The sequence below is a fragment of the Homo sapiens genome, chromosome 2 (genome assembly GCF_000001405.40).
Source record: "Homo sapiens chromosome 2, GRCh38.p14 Primary Assembly".
NCBI classification, from domain to species: Eukaryota; Metazoa; Chordata; class Mammalia; order Primates; family Hominidae; genus Homo; species Homo sapiens.
In genome coordinates this window covers 197,607,328-197,625,893 of record NC_000002.12, presented here as the reverse complement: position 1 = coordinate 197,625,893, position 18,566 = coordinate 197,607,328, and the positions used below count along the sequence as shown (strand labels likewise).

At 42.6% G+C, this 18,566-nt stretch overlaps 1 protein-coding gene across 6 annotated transcripts in view, besides 2 other annotated features; it reads left to right on the top strand.

The window, feature by feature from the left end:
* RFTN2 (raftlin family member 2) overlaps nt 1-18,566 on the top strand; it is a 107,364-nt gene that overhangs the window by 49,694 nt on the left and 39,104 nt on the right. For all 6 annotated transcript variants that reach the window (XM_017003332.3, XM_011510598.4, XM_011510597.4 and 3 more), the window contains exons 6-7: nt 7,973-8,094; nt 9,915-10,018. In XM_017003332.3, coding sequence (XP_016858821.1) covers nt 7,973-8,094; nt 9,915-10,018 — 226 coding nt within the window. The remainder of the gene's footprint in view (nt 1-7,972; nt 8,095-9,914; nt 10,019-18,566) is intronic.
* Nucleotides 5,138-5,638: an enhancer, noted in NCBI's record as "H3K4me1 hESC enhancer chr2:198484980-198485480 (GRCh37/hg19 assembly coordinates)". NCBI's record gives its function as "activates a minimal SCP1, AML or CMV promoter by ChIP-STARR-seq in primed H9 embryonic stem cells {active_cell/tissue: H9 hESC(primed)}" and the evidence as "EXISTENCE:reporter gene assay evidence [ECO:0000049][PMID:30033119]".
* Nucleotides 6,095-6,599: an enhancer, noted in NCBI's record as "NANOG-H3K27ac-H3K4me1 hESC enhancer chr2:198484019-198484523 (GRCh37/hg19 assembly coordinates)". NCBI's record gives its function as "activates a minimal SCP1, AML or CMV promoter by ChIP-STARR-seq in primed H9 embryonic stem cells {active_cell/tissue: H9 hESC(primed)}" and the evidence as "EXISTENCE:reporter gene assay evidence [ECO:0000049][PMID:30033119]".

Below are 18,566 nucleotides of genomic sequence, written 5' to 3'. Positions count from 1 at the left end.
CTTGAACCTGGGAGGTGGAGGTTGCAGTGAGCCGAGATCACACCACTGCACTGCACTGGGCAGTGCAGCCTGGGCAACAGAGTGAGACTCCATCTCAAAAAAAGAAGAAAGGAAAGGAAAAGAGAGGAGAGAAAAGAGAAGGGAGGGGAGAGGAGGGGAGGGGAAGGGAGGGGAGGAGAGGAGAGGAGAGGAGAGGAGAGGAGAGGAGAGGAGAGGAGAGGAGAGGAGAGAGGAATTTCTTTGCCCTCATTATGAGAAATGGATCACAGAGGGCAAGAGTGGAAGTGTGGTGGGGAGGCTGTTAAGAGGCTGTTGCAGTGCTCCCTAGAGAGATGATGGTGGAGATGGAAAGAAGTGGATAGGCTAAGATTCTTTTTAGAGTTACCATATGTGCCTGCCCTCTACTTCAAAGATGCTCCCGGGCCCACCTCTGGGCAGTTGAATACCAAAAATGACAGGGGAACCAAAAAAACTAAAATGGAGTGTTACCTCTCTGCACCTTTACAGGAATGTCAATATCATATCCAGCTAAAAGACAAGACATGTCCAGAAAAGTAAACCATTCCCTGGGAGCCCTTCAAACATGTGCTTTTCAAACCAGGGTTCAAGTACCCTCAGGATATTCAGCCTTGTGCCAAGGAGTACACAAGTTCACAAGTTTGCAGAATATAACTCTTCCTGGAGTGTCAATATTACTTTAAGATTGAGTGGCTTTTATGTAAGATGAATATATTTGAAAAGAATGGGCCAGCACAGTGGTTCATGCCTGTAGTCCCAGTACTTTGGGAGGCCAAGGTGGGAGAATCCCTGGGGGCCTGGAGTTTGAGACCAGCCTGATGGTAGAGGGTCTTGCCTCTGTGTTGATGGTGGCTGACTGATCAGGGTGGTGGTTGCTGAAGGTTGGGGGTGGCTGTAGCAATTTCTAATTTAATTTTTTTCTCTTTGGGGATAGAGTCTCGCCCTGTCACCCAGGCTGGAGCACAGTGATGTGATCTCAGCTCACTGCAACCTCCGCCTCCCAGGTTCAAGCAATCTTCCCACGTTGGCCTCTTGGGTAGCTGGGACCAAGGTGTGCACCACCACACTGGCTATTTTTTTAGAGACAGGATCTCACTATGTTGCCCAGGCTGGTCTTGAACTCCTGAACTCAAGTGATCCACCTGCCTCAGCCTCCCAAAGTGCTGGGATTACAGCATGAGCTACTGCGCCTGGCCAGCTGTGGCAATTTCTTAAAATAATACAATGAAATTTGCTGCATCAATTGGCTCTTTCTTTTTTTTTTTTTTTTTTTTTTTTGAGACAGAGTCTCGCTCTGTCGCCCAGGCTGGAGTGCTGTGGTGAGATCTTGGCTCACTGCAAGCTCCGCCTCCCGGGTTCACGCCATTCTCCTGCCTCAGTCTCCCGAGTAGCTGGGACTACAGGCTCACGCCACCACGCCCGGCTAATTTTTTGTATTTTTAGTAGAGATGGGTTTCACCGTGTTAGCCAGGATGGTCTCCATCTCCCGACCTTGTGATCCGCCCACCTCAGCCTCCCAAAGTGCTGGGATTACAGGCATGAGTCACCGCGCCACGCCAGCTCTTTCTTTCACAAAATTTCTCTCTAGCATATGATGCTGTTTGACGGCATTTTAACCACAGTAGAACTTCTTTCAAAATGGGAGTCAATCCTCTCAAACCCTCCAATTGCTTTATCGCCTAAATTTATTTAATATTCTAAATCCTTCATTGTCATTTCAACAATGTTCACAGCATCTTCACCAGGAGTAGATTCCATTTTAAGAAACCATTTTCTAGACTGGGCACTGTAGCTCACACCTGTAATCCCAGCACTTTGGGAGGCCGAGGCGGGAGGATCACTTGAGGTCAGGAGTTCGAGACCACCCTAGCCAACATGGTGAAACCCTATCTCTACTGAAAACACAAAAATTTGCCAGCCGTGGTGGCTCAGACCTGTAATCCCAGCACTTTGGGAGACCGAGGCAGGTGGATCACTTGAGGTCAGTAGTTCGAGACCAGCCTGACCAACATGGTGAAACCCTGTCTCTACTAAAAATACAAAATTAGCCAGACGTAGTGACACGCCTGTAATTCCAGCTACTCAGGAGGCTGAGGCAGGAAAATTACTTGAACCCGGGAGGCAGAGGTTGCAGTGAGCCAAGATCATGCCATTGCACTCCAGCCTGGGCAACCAAAGCAAAACTCTGTCTCAAAAATAAATAAATAAATAATAAATTAAAATGCAAAAATTAGCCTGGCATGGTGGTGCACGCCTGCGGTCCCAGCTACTCAAGAGGCTGAAGCACAAGAATCAGTTGAACCTGGGAAGTGGAGGTTGCAGTGAGCTGAGATCGTGCCACTGCACTCCAGCCTGGGAAACAGAGTGAGACTCCATCTCAAAAAAACAACAACAACAAAAAAGAAAGAAACCACTTTCTTTGCTCATCCATAAGAAGCAACTCATCCATTCAGGTTTTACTACGAGATTGCAGCAATTTAGTCTCCATTTTTAGGCTCCACTTCTAATTCTGGCTTTCTCATTATTTTCACTACATCTGCAATTACTTTCTCCACTGAAGTCTTGAGCCCCTCAAAGTCATCCATGAAAATTGGAGTCAACCTCTTTCAAACTCCTGTTCATGTTGATATTTTGGCCTCCTCCCATGAATCATAAATGTTCTTAATGGCATCTAGAATAGTGAATCCTTTCCAGAAGGTTTTAATTTATTTTGCCCAGATCCATCAGAGGAATCACTATCTATGGCAGCTATAGCCTTACAAAATGTATTTCTTAAATATATGACTTGAAAGTCAAAATGGCTCCTTGATCCATGGGCTGCAGAATGGATGTTGTGTTAGCAGGCATGAAAACATTAATCTTCTTGTATATCTTCATCAGAGCTGTTAGGTGACCAAGTACATTGTCAATAAGCATAATATTTTGAAAGGCATCTTTTTTTCTGAGCAGTAGGTCTGAATAGTGGGCTTAAAATATTCAGTAACCCTTGCTATAAACAGATGTGCTGTCATCCAGCCTTTGTTTTCCATGTCTAGATCACAGGCAGAGTAGATTTAGCATAATTCTTAAGGGCCCTAGGATTTTTGGAATAGTAAATGAGCATTGGCTTCAACTTAAAGTCACCAGCTGCATTAGTCCCTAACAAGAGAGTCAGCGTGTCCTACGAAGCTTTGAAGCCAGGCATTGACTTCTCCTCTCTAGCAATGAAAGTCCTGGATGACGTCTTCCACTGTAAGGTTGTTTTACTGACGCTGAAAATCTATAGTTTTAGGCCAGGCGCAGTGGCTCACGCCTGTAATCCCAACACTTCGGGAGGCTGAGGAGGTTGGATCATTTGAGGTCAGGAGTTCGAGATCAGCCTGGCTAAAATGGTGAAACCCCGCCTCTACTAAAAATACAAAAATTAGCTGGGTTTGGTGGTGTGTGCCTATAATCTGAGCTACTTGGAAGGCTGAGGCAGGAGAATTGCTTGAGCCTGGGGAGGTAGAGGTTGCAGTGAGCCAAGATCATGCCACCGCACCCCAGCCTGAGTGAAAGAGTGAGACCTTGTCTCAAAATAAATAAATAAATAATAAATAAAAATCTGTAGTTTTGTGCAGCCACCTTTATCTATTCTCTTAGCTGGATCTTCTAGATAACTTGCTGCAGCTTCTACATTAGCACTTGCTCCTTCACCTTGCAATTTTATGTTATGGAGACAGCTTCTTTCCTTAAACTTCATGAACCAACCTCTGTTGGCTTCCAACTTTTCTTCCACAGCTTCCTCACCTCTCTCAGCCTTCATAGAATGGAAGAGAGTTAGGATCTTGCTCTGGATTAGGCTTTGGCTTAAGGGACTGCTTGTGGCTGCTTTGATCTTCTATCCAGACCACTAAAACTGTCTCCATCATCGAGAAGTCTGTTTTGCTTTCTTATCATTCATTCACTTTTATTTTCCTTCAAGAACTTTTCCCTTACATTCACAATTTGGCTAACTGACACAAGAGGCCTAGTTTACCGCCTGTCTCAGCTTTGACATGTCTTCCTCACTAAGCTTAATAATAATTCCCAGCTTTCGATTTAAAATGAGAAACTTGTGACTCTTCTTTTCACTTGAACACCTAGAGGCTATTTCGGGGTTATTAATTGGCCTAATTTCAGGGAATGGGGGCCTCGAGAAGAGGGAGAGAGATGGGGGAAGGGCCAGTCAGTGGAGCAGTCAGAACCCCCACAACGTTTATCAGTTAAATTCACCATTTTATATGGGCATGGTTCCCGGTGGCCCAAAACAATTACAATAGTAACATCAAAGATCATTGATCACAGACCACCATAACAGATAGAATAATAATGAAAAAGGTTGAAATATTGCAAGAATTACTAAAATGTGACACCAACACATGAAGTGAGTACACACCTTTGGAAAAATGGCACTAATAGACTTGTTCAATGCAGGATTGCCACAAACCTTCAATTTGAAAAAAAAAAAAAAAAACCGGTATCTGCAAAACACAGTAAAGCAAAGCACAATAAAGCAAGGTGGGACTGTGCTAGTGCCTCCCAATATTGAGAGCAAGAAAACACACCTGGAGCCACAAAGCCCAGAGTTTTCACATTATATAATCCCAAAGTAAGAAAGAAGGAGATTATAATTAACTATGTAATTATCACAGGATACAACTAATTTTAAAACACATACCTCTAAAAGGGAACTTGGGGCATGCACAATTGTAGATGATCTAGTGATGCCCTAAACTTTCAATCAGAAACAAATTTGATTCCACTGGTCACTTCAGTGTGACAGTAAATAAGTACACTTAAAGGAAATGAAATAGACACTGTAATTAGAAAACCAGCTTGAACTAGGAAACTAAACTTCACTGGGTTTTTTGTTTGTTTTTCATTTTTCTGTTTTGTTTTGTTTTGTTTTTGAGATGGAGTCTTGCTCTGTCACCCAGGCTGAAGTACAATGGCACGATCTCGGCTCACCGCAATCTCCCCCTCCCGGGTTCAAGCGATTCTCCTGCCTCTGCCTCCCGAGTAGCCAGGATTACAGGCATGCGCCACCATGCCCAGCTAATTTTGTATTTTTAGTAGATATGGGTTTTTTCCATGTTGGTCAGGCTGGTCTCAAACTCCCTACCGCAGGTGATCTGCCTGCCTCGGCCTCCCAAACTGTTGGGATTACAGGCGTGAGCCACTGCGCCCAGCCTACTGGGTTCTTGGGAACCACTCTGAACAATGCAAATTCTTCATGGTGTTCTGCCCTAACCATGAATTATGTCAAAAAAATAATAATAATGATTTATCTCTTAAAATTTATAGCCTGATAATGAAAATTAAAACAGAAAATTACATTAAAATTACTTTTGTCTTTTTTATCTTTAAGCTTAAAAGATCCTTTGAAAAGTTTGCAGGCCTTTAGAATTTAGAGAGCTGTCAACCAGGGAAACTTTAATGTGACATTGTGCTACACAAAAACCGAAATGTTTAAGCAGCACATGACCATGGGAAAAATGTCTCCTATAGCAAAATAGGAGACAAAAGAACTTCCATAAAATCAGTTTGTGTAGGCCAGCTGGTTATTGTCAACTATTCAAGAAAAAGTCAGAGAGGCCCTCCCTTAAAACTTCCTTCCCAGCAGGAATTCTTTTGACAATGACTTCTGTTTAGGGTCTTCCTGTCCCTGTTTTTCTTATTTTTTTTTTTAACCCATCATTGAGGTAAAGAATTGTTCTGTGTTTAGGTCTTTTGAAGTAATCTTACCTAGCATTAATTTTAATATTATGTCTTTAATTTCAAATATTAACAGTTTTATGCTGTTTCTCTTAATGGTTATAATTAACATGCATACAACGTATAGATCCGAAACCAAATTTTGATTTCAAAATGAAGATCACATCCAGATGCCTTTTAGATTGATTTTCCACTCGCTTCTCACTGTGCCACACTATTTTACCTTGTTTTTGCTATTGTAGTTTTTATATGTATAGTTGGATTTTAATTCAGTGAAGTAAAAAAAAAAAAAAAAGTGTTGCTCTTTGGGGAGAAAGAAAAACTTTCCAAGAGGAGGAGGAGATTATTGATTCAGCCAAAACAAATGTTTTTTTTTAATTTTATTTTATTTTATTATTGTTATTATTATTTTTTTTTTTTAATTGATCATTCTTGGGTGTTTCTCGCAGAGGGGGATTTGGCAGGGTCACAGGACAATAGTGGAGGGAAGGTCAGCAGATAAACAAGTGAACAAAGGTCTCTGGTTTTCCTAGGCAGAGGACCCTGCGGCCTTCCGCAGTGTTTGTGTCCCTGGGTACTTGAGATTAGGGAGTGGTGATGACTCTTAAGGAGCATGCTGCCTTCAAGCATCTGTTTAACAAAGCACATCTTGCACCGCCCTTAATCCATTCAACCCTGAGTGGATACAGCACATGTTTCAGAGAGCACAGGGTTGGGGGTAAGGTCACCAATCAACAGGATCCCAAGGCAGAAGAATTTCTCTTAGTACAGAACAAAATGAAAAGTCTCCCATGTCTACCTCTTTCTACACAGACACGGCAACCATCCGATTTCTCAATCTTTTCCCCACCTTTCCCCCCTTTCTATTCTACAAAACCGCCATTGTCATCATGGCCCGTTCTCAATGAGCTGTTGGGTACACCTCCCAGACGGGGTGGTGGCCGGGCAGAGGGGCTCCTCACTTCCCAGTAGGCGCAGCCGGGCAGAGGCGCCCCTCACCTCCCGGATGGGGGGCTGACCCCCCCCACCTCCCTCCCGGACGGGGCGGCTGGCCGGGCAGAGGGGCTCCTCACTTCCCAGTAGGGGCGGCCGGGCAGAGGCACCCCTCACCTCCCGGACAGGGCGGCTGGCCGGGCAGGGGGCTGACCCCCCCACCTCCCTCCCTCCCGGATGGGGCGGCTGGCCGGGCGGGGGGCTGACCCCCCCACCTCCCTCCCGGACGAGGTGGCTGCCGGGCAGAGACGCTCCTCACTTCCCAGACGGGGTGGCTGCTGGGCGGAGGGGCTCCTCACTTCTCAGACGGGGCGGCTGCCGGGCGGAGGGGCTCCTCACTTCTCAGACGGGGCGGTTGCCAGGCAGAAGGTCTCCTCACTTCTCAGACGGGGCGTCCGGGCAGAGACGCTCCTCACATCCCGGACGGGGCGGCAGGGCAGAGGTGCTCCCCACATCTCAGACGATGGGCGGCCGGGCAGAGACGCTCCTCACTTCCCAGATGTGATGGCGGCCGGGAAGAGGCGCTCCTCACTTCCTAGATGGGATGGTGGCCGGGCAGAGACACTCCTCACTTTCCAGACTGGGCAGCCAGGCAGAGGGGCTCCTCACATCCCAGACGATGGGCGGCCAGGCGGAGACGCTCCTCACTTCCCAGACGGGGTGGCGGCCGGGCAGAGGCTGCAATCTCGGCACTTTGGGAGGCCAAGGCAGGCTGCTGGGAGGTGGAGGTTGTAGCGAGCCGAGATCATGCCACTGCACTCCAGCCTGGGCACCATTGAGCACTGAGTGAACGAGACTCCGTCTGCAATCCCGGCACCTCGGGAGGCCGAGGCTGGCGGATCACTCGCGGTTAGGAGCTGGAGACCAGCCCGGCCAACACAGCGAATCCCCGTCTCCACCAAAAAAATACGAAAACCAGTCAGGCGTGGCGGCGCGCGCCTGCAATCGCAGGCACTCGGCAAGCTGAGGCAGGAGAATCAGGCAGGGAGGTTGCAGTGAGCCGAGATGGCAGCAGTACCGTCCAGCTTCGGCTGGGCATCAGAGGGAGACCGTGGAAAGAGAGGGAGAGGGAGACCGTGGGGAGAGGGAGAGGGAGAGGGAGAGGGGGAGGGGGAGGGGGCAACAAATGTTTTTTAATTGAAATGTTTTTCCTTCAGTTTCCTATATGAGTTATTTAAGGATTTAGATGGTTTTATGAGCCACTTAGTATTTACAACCCTTCTTAATTGTACCCTCTTCCTCACAGGGGAACATTTGCCTAAATCTTTGGAAGGATTTTTTATCTATGAAGAAGAAGGTTCTGGAGTTCCAGGTTCTAGTAGGAAAGGAAATGATGCCATCGTAGTAGAACAATGGACTGTTATTGAGGTGAGCTGCAGTTTTCTGACAATTTAGCTTTACATATATAAATATAATATATAATATATATATATGTTTGGTTTGGGTTTTTCATTTGTTTGTTTGTTTGTTTTTGTTTTTGTTTTTTTGAGTCAGGGCCTTACTCTGTTACCCAGGCTGGAGTGCAGTGGCACCATCACAGCTCACTGCAGCCTCAACTTCCCCTGGCTCAGGTGATTCTCCAACCTCAGCCTCCCAGGTAGCTGGGACTACAGGCCTGCACCACCATACTCATCTAATTTTTTTGTATTTTTTGTAGAGACAGGGTCTCGCCATGTTGCCCAGGCTATATATATTTTATTTTACATGTTAAAGATCTTCAGTGCCTGGCACATGCAGTATCCTTAAACACATATTTGTTTAGTGTTTAGAATCTCATTACAAATGCATGAACAAACTTCTTTCGGATTTGTGAAAAGGTAATTTGCTTTATCCAGTGTTAAATGTTTTTGCAAGATAGAGAAATAATTAACTATGCATAAGCAGCAGTAAGTTCCCAAAAATTTTAAGCCAAAAAACATCGCCTGGCACTGAGCTTCTCTTTACAGCATTCTGTGACAACTGATTGAAAGAAAAAAATTTGGTCACTCAACTAGTGTTTTATCTCCAATCAACCAATGTGACTGAGGTTTTTTTTAACCTTATGAATGACTTTCAAAGGCAAAAATATCCAAAAGATGTTCTCTCTCTCGCCAGGCCAAATATGTACACACAGCATTGTCCTTCACAAACAGAGATGACATTGCTGCTGATGTTGTGCACCCTGAATTCAGATGTCACTGAATGGACTGTCTTTGAGGTGTACACACTGAATTCAGGTATATTCTGTTTTGTGTTTGAGGCCCTCCCTGACAGGCTGTTTCAGGGATACTTTTACCTTTCTGACCTTACACAGGTTAAAGAGACATAGCCCATTTTCAAAGAAACTAGAAAACCCATTGAGTGGGGAAAAAGGATTTGAGGAAAGAGGTAGAGCTCTTAGCAAAACTCAATTCCAAATTAAGAAAAAAGCAGTGAAAAGACTCCCCACACCCAAGCGCCTCTCATCTTCAATACCACTATTGTCACTCTCCACTCTTGTCCTCACTTCCTGGTCCCTAGACCCATGTTTCTGAAATGTGTTCTAGAAACTTCTTGGATCCAAATCCGCTAAGGAACTCGTGTTAAAATGCAGCCTCTGCCTGACACAGTGGCTCACGTCTGTAACCCCAGCACTTTAGGAAGGTGAAATGGGAGGATAACTTGAGCCCGGGAGTTCAAGACCAGCCTGGGCAACATAGTGAGACCCCATCTCTACAAAAAATTTTAAAATTAACCAGGCATAGTGTCATGCACCTGTAGTCCCAGTTACTCAGGCGGCAGAGGCAGGAGAATAGTTTGAGCCCAGGAGATTGAGGTTAAAGTGAGTTATGACTGTGCCACTGCACCCTAGCCTGGATGTAGGAATGAGACCCTCTCTTTAAAATAAAATAAAATAAAATAAAATAAAATAAAATAAAATGCAGATTCCCAGCTCCCCAACCCCATGTATTAAATTTCGAGAACCACTGCCCTAACAAGACCAAAGGAAGGCCCAAACTTCAGACAACGGGATGGAAACCTCTCTCCATTACTAGTGTTTCTAACTTGGTTCAATTATCAGAAGGAAGCAGAGCAGAACATGAAGCCCAGGAAGGCTGCAGCGGATGAAAGTGAACTCCCCTCATCCTAACACGCATCACCCTTTGTTGTAATTGTGTAGTTGGTTGTCTTTGCCATTAGACTATGAGCTCTTATACTTATTCATGCAGGGATGTGAAATCAAAACAGATTATGGCCCTCTGCTGCACACTCTGGCTGAATTCGGATGGCTTCTGACAAGCGTGTTGCCCACACCTGTATTGAGACATGACAGGTAAGGCAAAAGTATCCTTACATACTATCATTTAATTCTAATATATAACTTCATCTGTTAGATAGTTCAATTCAACAAATATTTGTTTAATGCCTACAGAAAACATTACACTGAGCTTCGAATTTGATTTTATGGACCTTAGAGGTTAGTAAATATAGTCCTTGGCATTATAGATGTATAAGCTGTTAGGCTCTGCAGCACATATCCAAAACTGTTCTCACCCCAGCCCACAGCCAGGTTTAGGACACAGTAGGGTTCCAGAGTGAGCAGGATGGAGGAGCGCTTCTGCCACCTCCCCTCCAGTGTGGTGAGTTAGTTCCCCTTGGCACATGGACTTGGTAGCTGTTTCCATTAAAATAAATGCCTACATTAGAACCAAATGCCAATATTTTGTAAGTACTAACTTTCCTTTTCCTTTTCTCCTTTTACTAACTTTCCTGGAAAGGAAAAATTGAATCTTACTTTTTTGAGAGAGGGAAACAGAGACCAAGTAAGTCATTATGTAAAATGCTTTGCTATTCCTGGGACCCAGAGATGTGTCCTCTGCCCGCTTTGGCATCCAGGAAATGACTGACTGCTAAGGCTGTCCTGCCTGGGCAGGTGACTACCTGCAGAGGACAGCACAGTACCAACTAGGCCTTCCCTTTTAGCAGAGTCAATTATGGTTCAACATTCTGAGTGATTTGCAGGTGTGACTAAGGAAAGCAACTTCCCCTTCCTTAGTCTAACCCACTTCACTCACCTTTTCTGGCCTTCCCGGTTTAGCAACTTAGCCCTGTCCAGTATCCCAGTACCCCACAACATTTAAAAACCTTTGATTGGCATGGCTTTATCTGAAAAGCCACACCTTCTTCGGGTAGGGAAAGGAATTAAGGTGGATATAAAGTAAAGAAACTCAAGTTTAAAGAACAAAAAAGGAATGTTTGAAGTAAGCAAAGCAATTAATCTACTTTTCTTCCCAGAGCTCTATAGTAACTGTTCTCAAATTGAGTGATGACTCCTTGAAGCATGATTTCCCAGCCTTTTGTACTCTGTGACATATCTGTCAAATAACAGAATAGTAATAATTCTCAAGATTCAGTCTTCACAAAACAGGAGAATTCCATGACACCCCCGCCCTCAACCTTGCAGGATGTGTGACAGGGGTGTGGCTTGTTTGTTCACCCTCTGCATGCTCAAACCACTTACAGGAGGGGAAGCACACAGATGGGCAGGTGCAGGAGCTGGGGTGAGTGCTGTGGGGCTCCGGCCCCATGGTAGCGTCTAGGGGTGGGTGCCTGTGACTCCCAAAGCCCAAGTAGGCATGTGTTACAGTGATCTTTTAGTTTTGCCATCTGCAGAGGGCTTAAGTGTTAACCAGCTCAGTGTCCTCTCAGTACCTAGGTCCTTGTCCAGCGTCCAGGAAGAACCAAGTTGCACAGGGAATTGAGGACAGTGATTGTGCAGGTTTTATTGAGGGTAGAGGTGGGATGCAGTGGGAAGATGATCATCTTCCGGAGTTTGACCGTCCAGCAGCCGATCTCCTCTCCAACCATCTCCAGCCAAACTCTTCTCAGCATTCAGATGCTCCTTCTCTTATCTCTGCCACGCCATTCTGAATTTTAAATTTTAAAAATCAAATTTAAAAGGCAAAAAGTCAATCAATAAATAAAAATATGTGGAAGCTGTACATGGTTTCTGGCCCTGAAGGATCTTGTGAGCTGGTTAAGCTTACGTTTCATATGTACAAAACAAGGGACTTACATTCTGGTCAGGGCAGATCAAGCTTATGTATTGTGTAATATAATACAGTAACTAATCAAGGGCTAGATGAGGTGTCTTAGTCTATAGGTTCTGTAGGAATATTAAAAAGAAGAGACATTTTAAACTGTCAAAGTTGGATGGGATCATCAAATACTAAAGAGATTAGAGGGCAGCATCATCACTATTTAGCAGATTTCCATTTAGGAAGATGCTACTAACTCTGTATAGAAGATAGCAGAAAAATGTAATTTTAACATTAATTGCCATTATGCAACAAGGCTCACTACAACTCTCAATGTCTACTCTTCTTTTGTATGCCAAGGAGCATTGTGCAATATTGGTGTTTATTTTGTTCCTTTGCATTTTGTAATTTGAGTCCTGCCAAGTGCCTGCAACACAGGAAATATAGGATGAAGGTCATTTGGTAACAAGGATTGTTGGTAAATCTTGTTTATTCTCTGCCTTTTTATTCTTGTGCAAATATACTGTCCCTGTGACAAGTCACATGCTGTTCTTAGCTGCTTCAGTACACACAACGATAGTAATCATGGTCAATGATGTCATCTTTACAAATAAAGAAAAGTGTTATATACAGTTGACCTTGGTCAAAATAGAGGATAGAGCCCGAAGTTTTTAGTCTCTGACACTAGAGGAATGGTTATGAGCTGCCCAGGCTTTGGAGCTAAGCAGATCTTGTTTTAATTATAGCTTCATCATTGTTTAGCTGTATGATTTGGGCAAGTCATCTAACCTTTTTAAGATAAATTTCCTTATCTGAAAAATTGGACAATAATATCAACTTTAGTGGATTATCACTATGACTAAGATAATACACGCAAAGTACCTATACAGGGCCTGGGCATATTAAGCTAATGAATTAGGGCTAATGTTTTGGGACGCAATCCTTAGCAGAACCAAAATTTCTGATAAGTTGAAACCAATGTTCAGGGATGGTAGCTTGGCCTGTCCTAAATCAGGATGTTTCAGAAAATGTAAATACTCTAGTTCACTATATACAAAATCAGCACTGAAGATGACAAGATAATAAAAGCAACAGAAATACATAATGACATTATTAAGATATCTTCTTACACATATTCTCACACCCAGAAAAAAGAATGTCTATCATCATCTTCTTTTTGCGGCCCACATGTCGAAAACATAACTTAAAATTACTGTCAGTGAAAACATTCTTCCTTACATGTGTTTGTCTTATATGCAACAACAGAGTCTTAAGTAATTTCAACATTCTCCCTACTCTTCTGTCACCTAAGCCATACTTGAATGGCCTATATATAAGCTGTTTTTCCCTCACTCAAATATATCCTGTTATTGGATTACATACATACAGTACGTCCCTAGGTTAAAGTTGTTGCTTCAATTACCCTAGGCAATATCACACCACTAGGGTTTAAAGCTGCATTACCATGGAAACGTCATGATGCTGTAATCTTATATCACCACATTATTCCAGAGTTATTGTTGTTGGTCCTGAAAACATGCCAGAATCCCTTCTTAATTGTTATCACTATTAATAATACCAATGGGCTCAATCCTTTTTCCTTCAAGAGTTCAAGGTGAAAGTTGACAGTAACTCTTCAGAGCAAATTTGGTGGAGGACCAAACCAGCTGAGTTAGCAGCTAATATTGTTAAACCACCAAAATAAAGGAGAAGGAGGAGCTAAAGTTCCCTCTGTTTGGCTACCTCAAAACAGCAGCATGGCTCCCCTCTCCAATTCTGGAGTGTGGGCAGGAATGTGCATTGTAACAGGAATCCCAAAGCAATTTTTATGCACTTTCAGAAACACTGAATTCTAACCTTACACTGAGAGAGAGAAAGTGAGGGTAAGGGAGGGGGTGAGAGAGAGAGAACTTTAGAACACAGGATAGAAGAAAGACATGCACTCATTTATATCCAGAAGGCAGAATTTAAAGGCAGGGGACTTTTGGTCCAGCTGAATCAAGTTGTACTATACCAAGAACATTAAAAAACCTCATCCTCAAGTGAACCTAATAGACACCTACAGAACTCTCCACCCCAAATCTACAGAATATACATTCTTCTCAGCACATCACACTTATTCTAAAATTGAACACATGTTTGGAAGTAAAGCACTCCTCAGCAAATGTAAAAGAACAGAAATCACAACAAACTGTCTCTCAGACCACAGTGCAATCAAATTAGAACTCAGGATTAAGAAACTCACTCAAAACTGCACAACTACATGGAAACTGAACACCCTGCTCCTTATTGACTGTTGGGTGAATAACAAAACGAAGGCAGAAATAAAGATGTTCTTTGAAACCAATGAGAACAAAGACACAACATACCGGAATATATGGGACACATTTAAAGCAATGTGTAGAGGGAAATTTATAGCACTAAATGCCCACAAGAGAAAGCAGGAATGATCTAAAATTGGCACTCTAACATCACAATTAAAAGAACTAAAGAAGCAAGAGCAAACACATTCAAAAGCTAGCAGAAGACAGGAAATAACTAAGATCAGAGCAGAAATGAAGGAGATAGAGACACAAAAAACCCTTCAAAAAGTCAATGAATCCAGGAGCTGGTTTTTTGAAAAGACCAACAAAATACATAGACCACTAGCCAGACTAATAAAGAAGAAAAGAGAGAAGAATCAAATAGACGCAATAAAAATGATAAAGGGGATATCACTACCGATCCCACAGAAATACAAACTACTATCAGAGAATACTATAAACGCCTCTATGCAAATAAACTAGAAAATCTAGAAGAAAGGGATGACTTCCTGGACACATACACCCTCCCAAGACTAAACCAGGAAGAAGTTGAATCTCTGACTAGACCACTAACAGGTTCTGAAATTGAGGCAATAATTAATAGCGTACCAACCAAAAAAAGTCCAGGACCAGACGGATTCACAGCCAAATTCTACCAGAGGTACAAAGAGGAGCTGGTACCATTCCTTCTGAAATTATCTCAATCAACAGAAAAAGAGGGACTCCCCCCTAACTCATTTTTGAGGCCAGCATCATCCTGATACCAAAACCTGGCAGAGACACAACAAAAAAAGAATATTTTAGGCCAATATCCCTGATGAACAATGATATGAAGCTCATCAATAAAATACTGGCAAACCGAATCCAGCAGCACATCAAAAAGCTTATCCACCACAATCAAGTCGGCTTCATCCCTGGGATGCAAGGCTGGTTCAACATACACAAATCAATAAATGTAATCCATCACATAAACAGAACCAATGACAAAAAACACATGATTATCTCAATAGATGTAGAAAAGGCCTTTGACAAAATTCAACAGCACTTCATGCTAAAAACTCTCAATAAACTAGGTATTGATAGAACATATCTCAAAATAATAAGAGCTATTTGTGACAAACCCACAGCCAATATCATACTGAATGGGCAAAAACTGGAAGCATTCCCTTTGAAAACTAGCACAAGACAAGGATGCCCTCTCTCACCACTCCTATTCAACATAGTGTTGGAAGTTCTGGCCAGGGCAATCAGGCAAGAGAAAGAAATAAAGGGTATTCAATTAGGAAATGAGGAGGTCAAATTGTCTCTGTGTGCAGAAGACATGATTGTATATTTAGAAAACCCCATTGTCTCAGCCCAAAATCTCCTTAAGCTGATAAGCAACTTCAGAAAAGTCTCAGGATACAAAATCAATGTGCAAAAATAACAAGCATTCCTATACACCAATAACAGACAGAGAGCCAAATCATGAGTGAACTCCCATTCACAATTGCTACAAAGAGAATAAAATACCTAGGAATCCAACTTACAAGGGATGTGAAGGACCTCTTCAAGGAGATCTACAAATCACTGCTCAAGGAAATAAAAGAGGACACAAACAAATGGAAGAACATTCCATGCTCATGGATAGGAAGAATCAATATAGTGAAAATGGCCATACTGCCCAAGGTAATTTACAGATTCGATGCCATCCCCATCAAGCTATCAATGACTTTCTTCACAGAATTGGAAAAAACTACTTTAAAGTTCATATGGAACCAAAAAAGAGCCCACATTGCCAAGAAAATCCTAAGCCAAAAGAACAAAGCTGAGGCATCACGCTACCTGACTTCAAACTATACTACAAGGCTACAGTAACCAAAACAGCATGGTACTGGTACCAAAACAGATATATAGACCAATGGAACAGAACAGAGGCCTTAGAAATAACACCACACATCTACAACCATCTGATCTTTAACAACCTGACAAAAACAAGCAGTGGGGAAAGGATTCCCTATTTAATAAATGGTGCTGGGAAAACTGGCTAGCCATATGCAGAAAGCTGAAACTGGATCCCTTCCCTACATCTTATACAAAAATTAACTCAAGATGGATTAAAGACTTACATGTAACACCTAAAACCATAAAAACCCTAGAAGAAAACCTGGGCAATACCACTCAGGACATAGGCATGGGCAAAGACTTCATGACTAAAACACCAAAAGCCAAAATAGACAAACGGGATCTAATTAAACTAAAGTGCTTCTGCACAGCAAAAGAAACTATCAGCAGAGTGAACAGGCAACTTACAGATTGGGAGAAAATTTTTGCAATCTATCCATCTGACAAAGGGCTAATATCCAGAATCTGCAAAGAACTTAAACAAATTTATAAGAAAAAACAAACAACCCCATCAAAAAATGGGTGAAGGATATGAACAGACACTTCTCAAAAGAAGACATTTATGTAGCCAACAAACTTATGAAAAAATGCTCATCATCACTGGTCATTATAGAAATGCAAATCAAAAGCATAATGAGATACCATCTCATGCCAGTTAGAATGGTGATCATTAAAAATTCAAGAAACAACAGATGCTGGAGAAGATGTGGAGAAATAGGGACACTTTTACACTGTTGGTGGGAGTGTAAATTAGTTCAACCATGTGGAAGACAGTGTGGCGATTCCTCAAGGATCTAGAATTAGAAATACCATTTGACGCAGTGATCCCATTACTGGTTATATGCCCAAAGGATTCTAAATCATACTACTATAAAGACACACGCACACATATGTTTATTGTGGCACTCTTCACAATAGCAAAATCTTGGTACCAACCCAAATGCCCATTAATGATAAACTGGATAAAGAAGTTGTGACACATAAACACCATGCAATGCTATGCAGCCATAAAAAAAGGATGAGTTCATGTCCTTTGCAGGGACACAGATGAAACTGGAAACCATCATTCTCAGTAAAGTAACACAAGAAGAGAAAACCAAACATCGCATGTTCTCACTAATAAGTGGGAGTTGAACAATGAGAACACTTGGACACAGGGAGGGGAACATCACACACTGGGGCCTGTTGTGGGGTGGGGAGCTGGGGGAGGGATAGCATTAGGAGAAATACCTAATGTAAATGATGATTTGACGGGTGCAGCAAACCAACATGGCACACTTATACCTGTGTAACAAACCTGCACGTTGTGCACATGTACCCCAGAACTTAAAGTATTAAAAAAAAAAAAAAAAAAAAAAAAGTCTGGTCCCAGCCAGGAACAGTGGCTCATGCCTGTAATCCTATCACTTTGGGAGGCCAAAGAAGGCAGATCACTTGAGGTCAGGAGTTTGAGACCAGCCTAGCTAACATGGTGAAACCCCATCTCTACTAAAAATACAAAAAAATTAGCTGCGCGTGGTGGTGTGCACCTGTAGTTCCAGCTACCCAGGAGGCTGAGGCACGAGAATCACTTGAACCAGGGAGGCAGGGGTTGCAGTGAGCCAACATCATGCCACTGCACGCCAGCCTGGGTAACAGAGTGAGACTCTGTCTCAAAAAAAAAAAAAAAAAAATCTGGTCCCTAAGGACAAGATGTGAATAACAAGAGAAATTGGTCTTCTCACTGTGATGCTGAGCTCTGCTCCCCTCTTCCATTTTCTGCAGCCCCTGTAGAACAGGCCCAACAGCCTCATGGGCATCACAGCTCAGAAGCACTGGAAGTCTGTGGAGTCCCAATCTCAATCTCAATCTTCATGTGGCAGCCAAAGCAGATGTTGCACATTTATATACATGCAGTTGAGGGAGAGGTTAGGATTTGGCCCATTCTAATGCAGTTCTCTGCTCTTACTAATTTAAATTTTGCAGAAACAGTGTCATGTAATTCCATCATGAGTTAAACTCATAGTAATCTTGCTGTGAGCAGTATTTTGATAAGGCCACATTCTTAAAATAATCAATTTTGTCTATTATATATACTTCCAGTTACCATCGCTCTTTCTCATCTGAACATAAATGTTAAACATTTTGTGGGGTGAGGAGGAGTTGGGACAACTAAACTGTAGCAGTGCCCTTTTCTTTGTTTTTAACACATACTGATACCTGAGAAACAAATTCAGGGTCATAGGCAAAGGAACTTTGTGACTAAGCACATAGCTGCAAAGTTGGAAGCCAAAATTTAATTTTATAATTTTCCTTTTAAAAAGCAAAATTTTATTTCAGTTTTCAAAAGCAAGAATTAACTCATTTACTTTTGAGTTGCAAATGTTAAGCCACGACAATTAATTAATGTGTAAGATGAAGCAAAAGTTAACATAAAATACAAATTAACAATTCTATTTCTTCTAGTCTAATGAATTTTGGAACTATAAATGAAAGCTTTATTATTATTATTATTATTATTATTATTATACTTCAAGTTTTAGGGCACATGTGCACAATGTGCAGGTTTGTTACATATGTATACATGTGCCATGTTGGTGTACTGCACCCATTAACTCGTCATTTAGCATTAGGTATATCTCCTAATGCTATCCCTGCCCCCTCCCTCCACCCCACA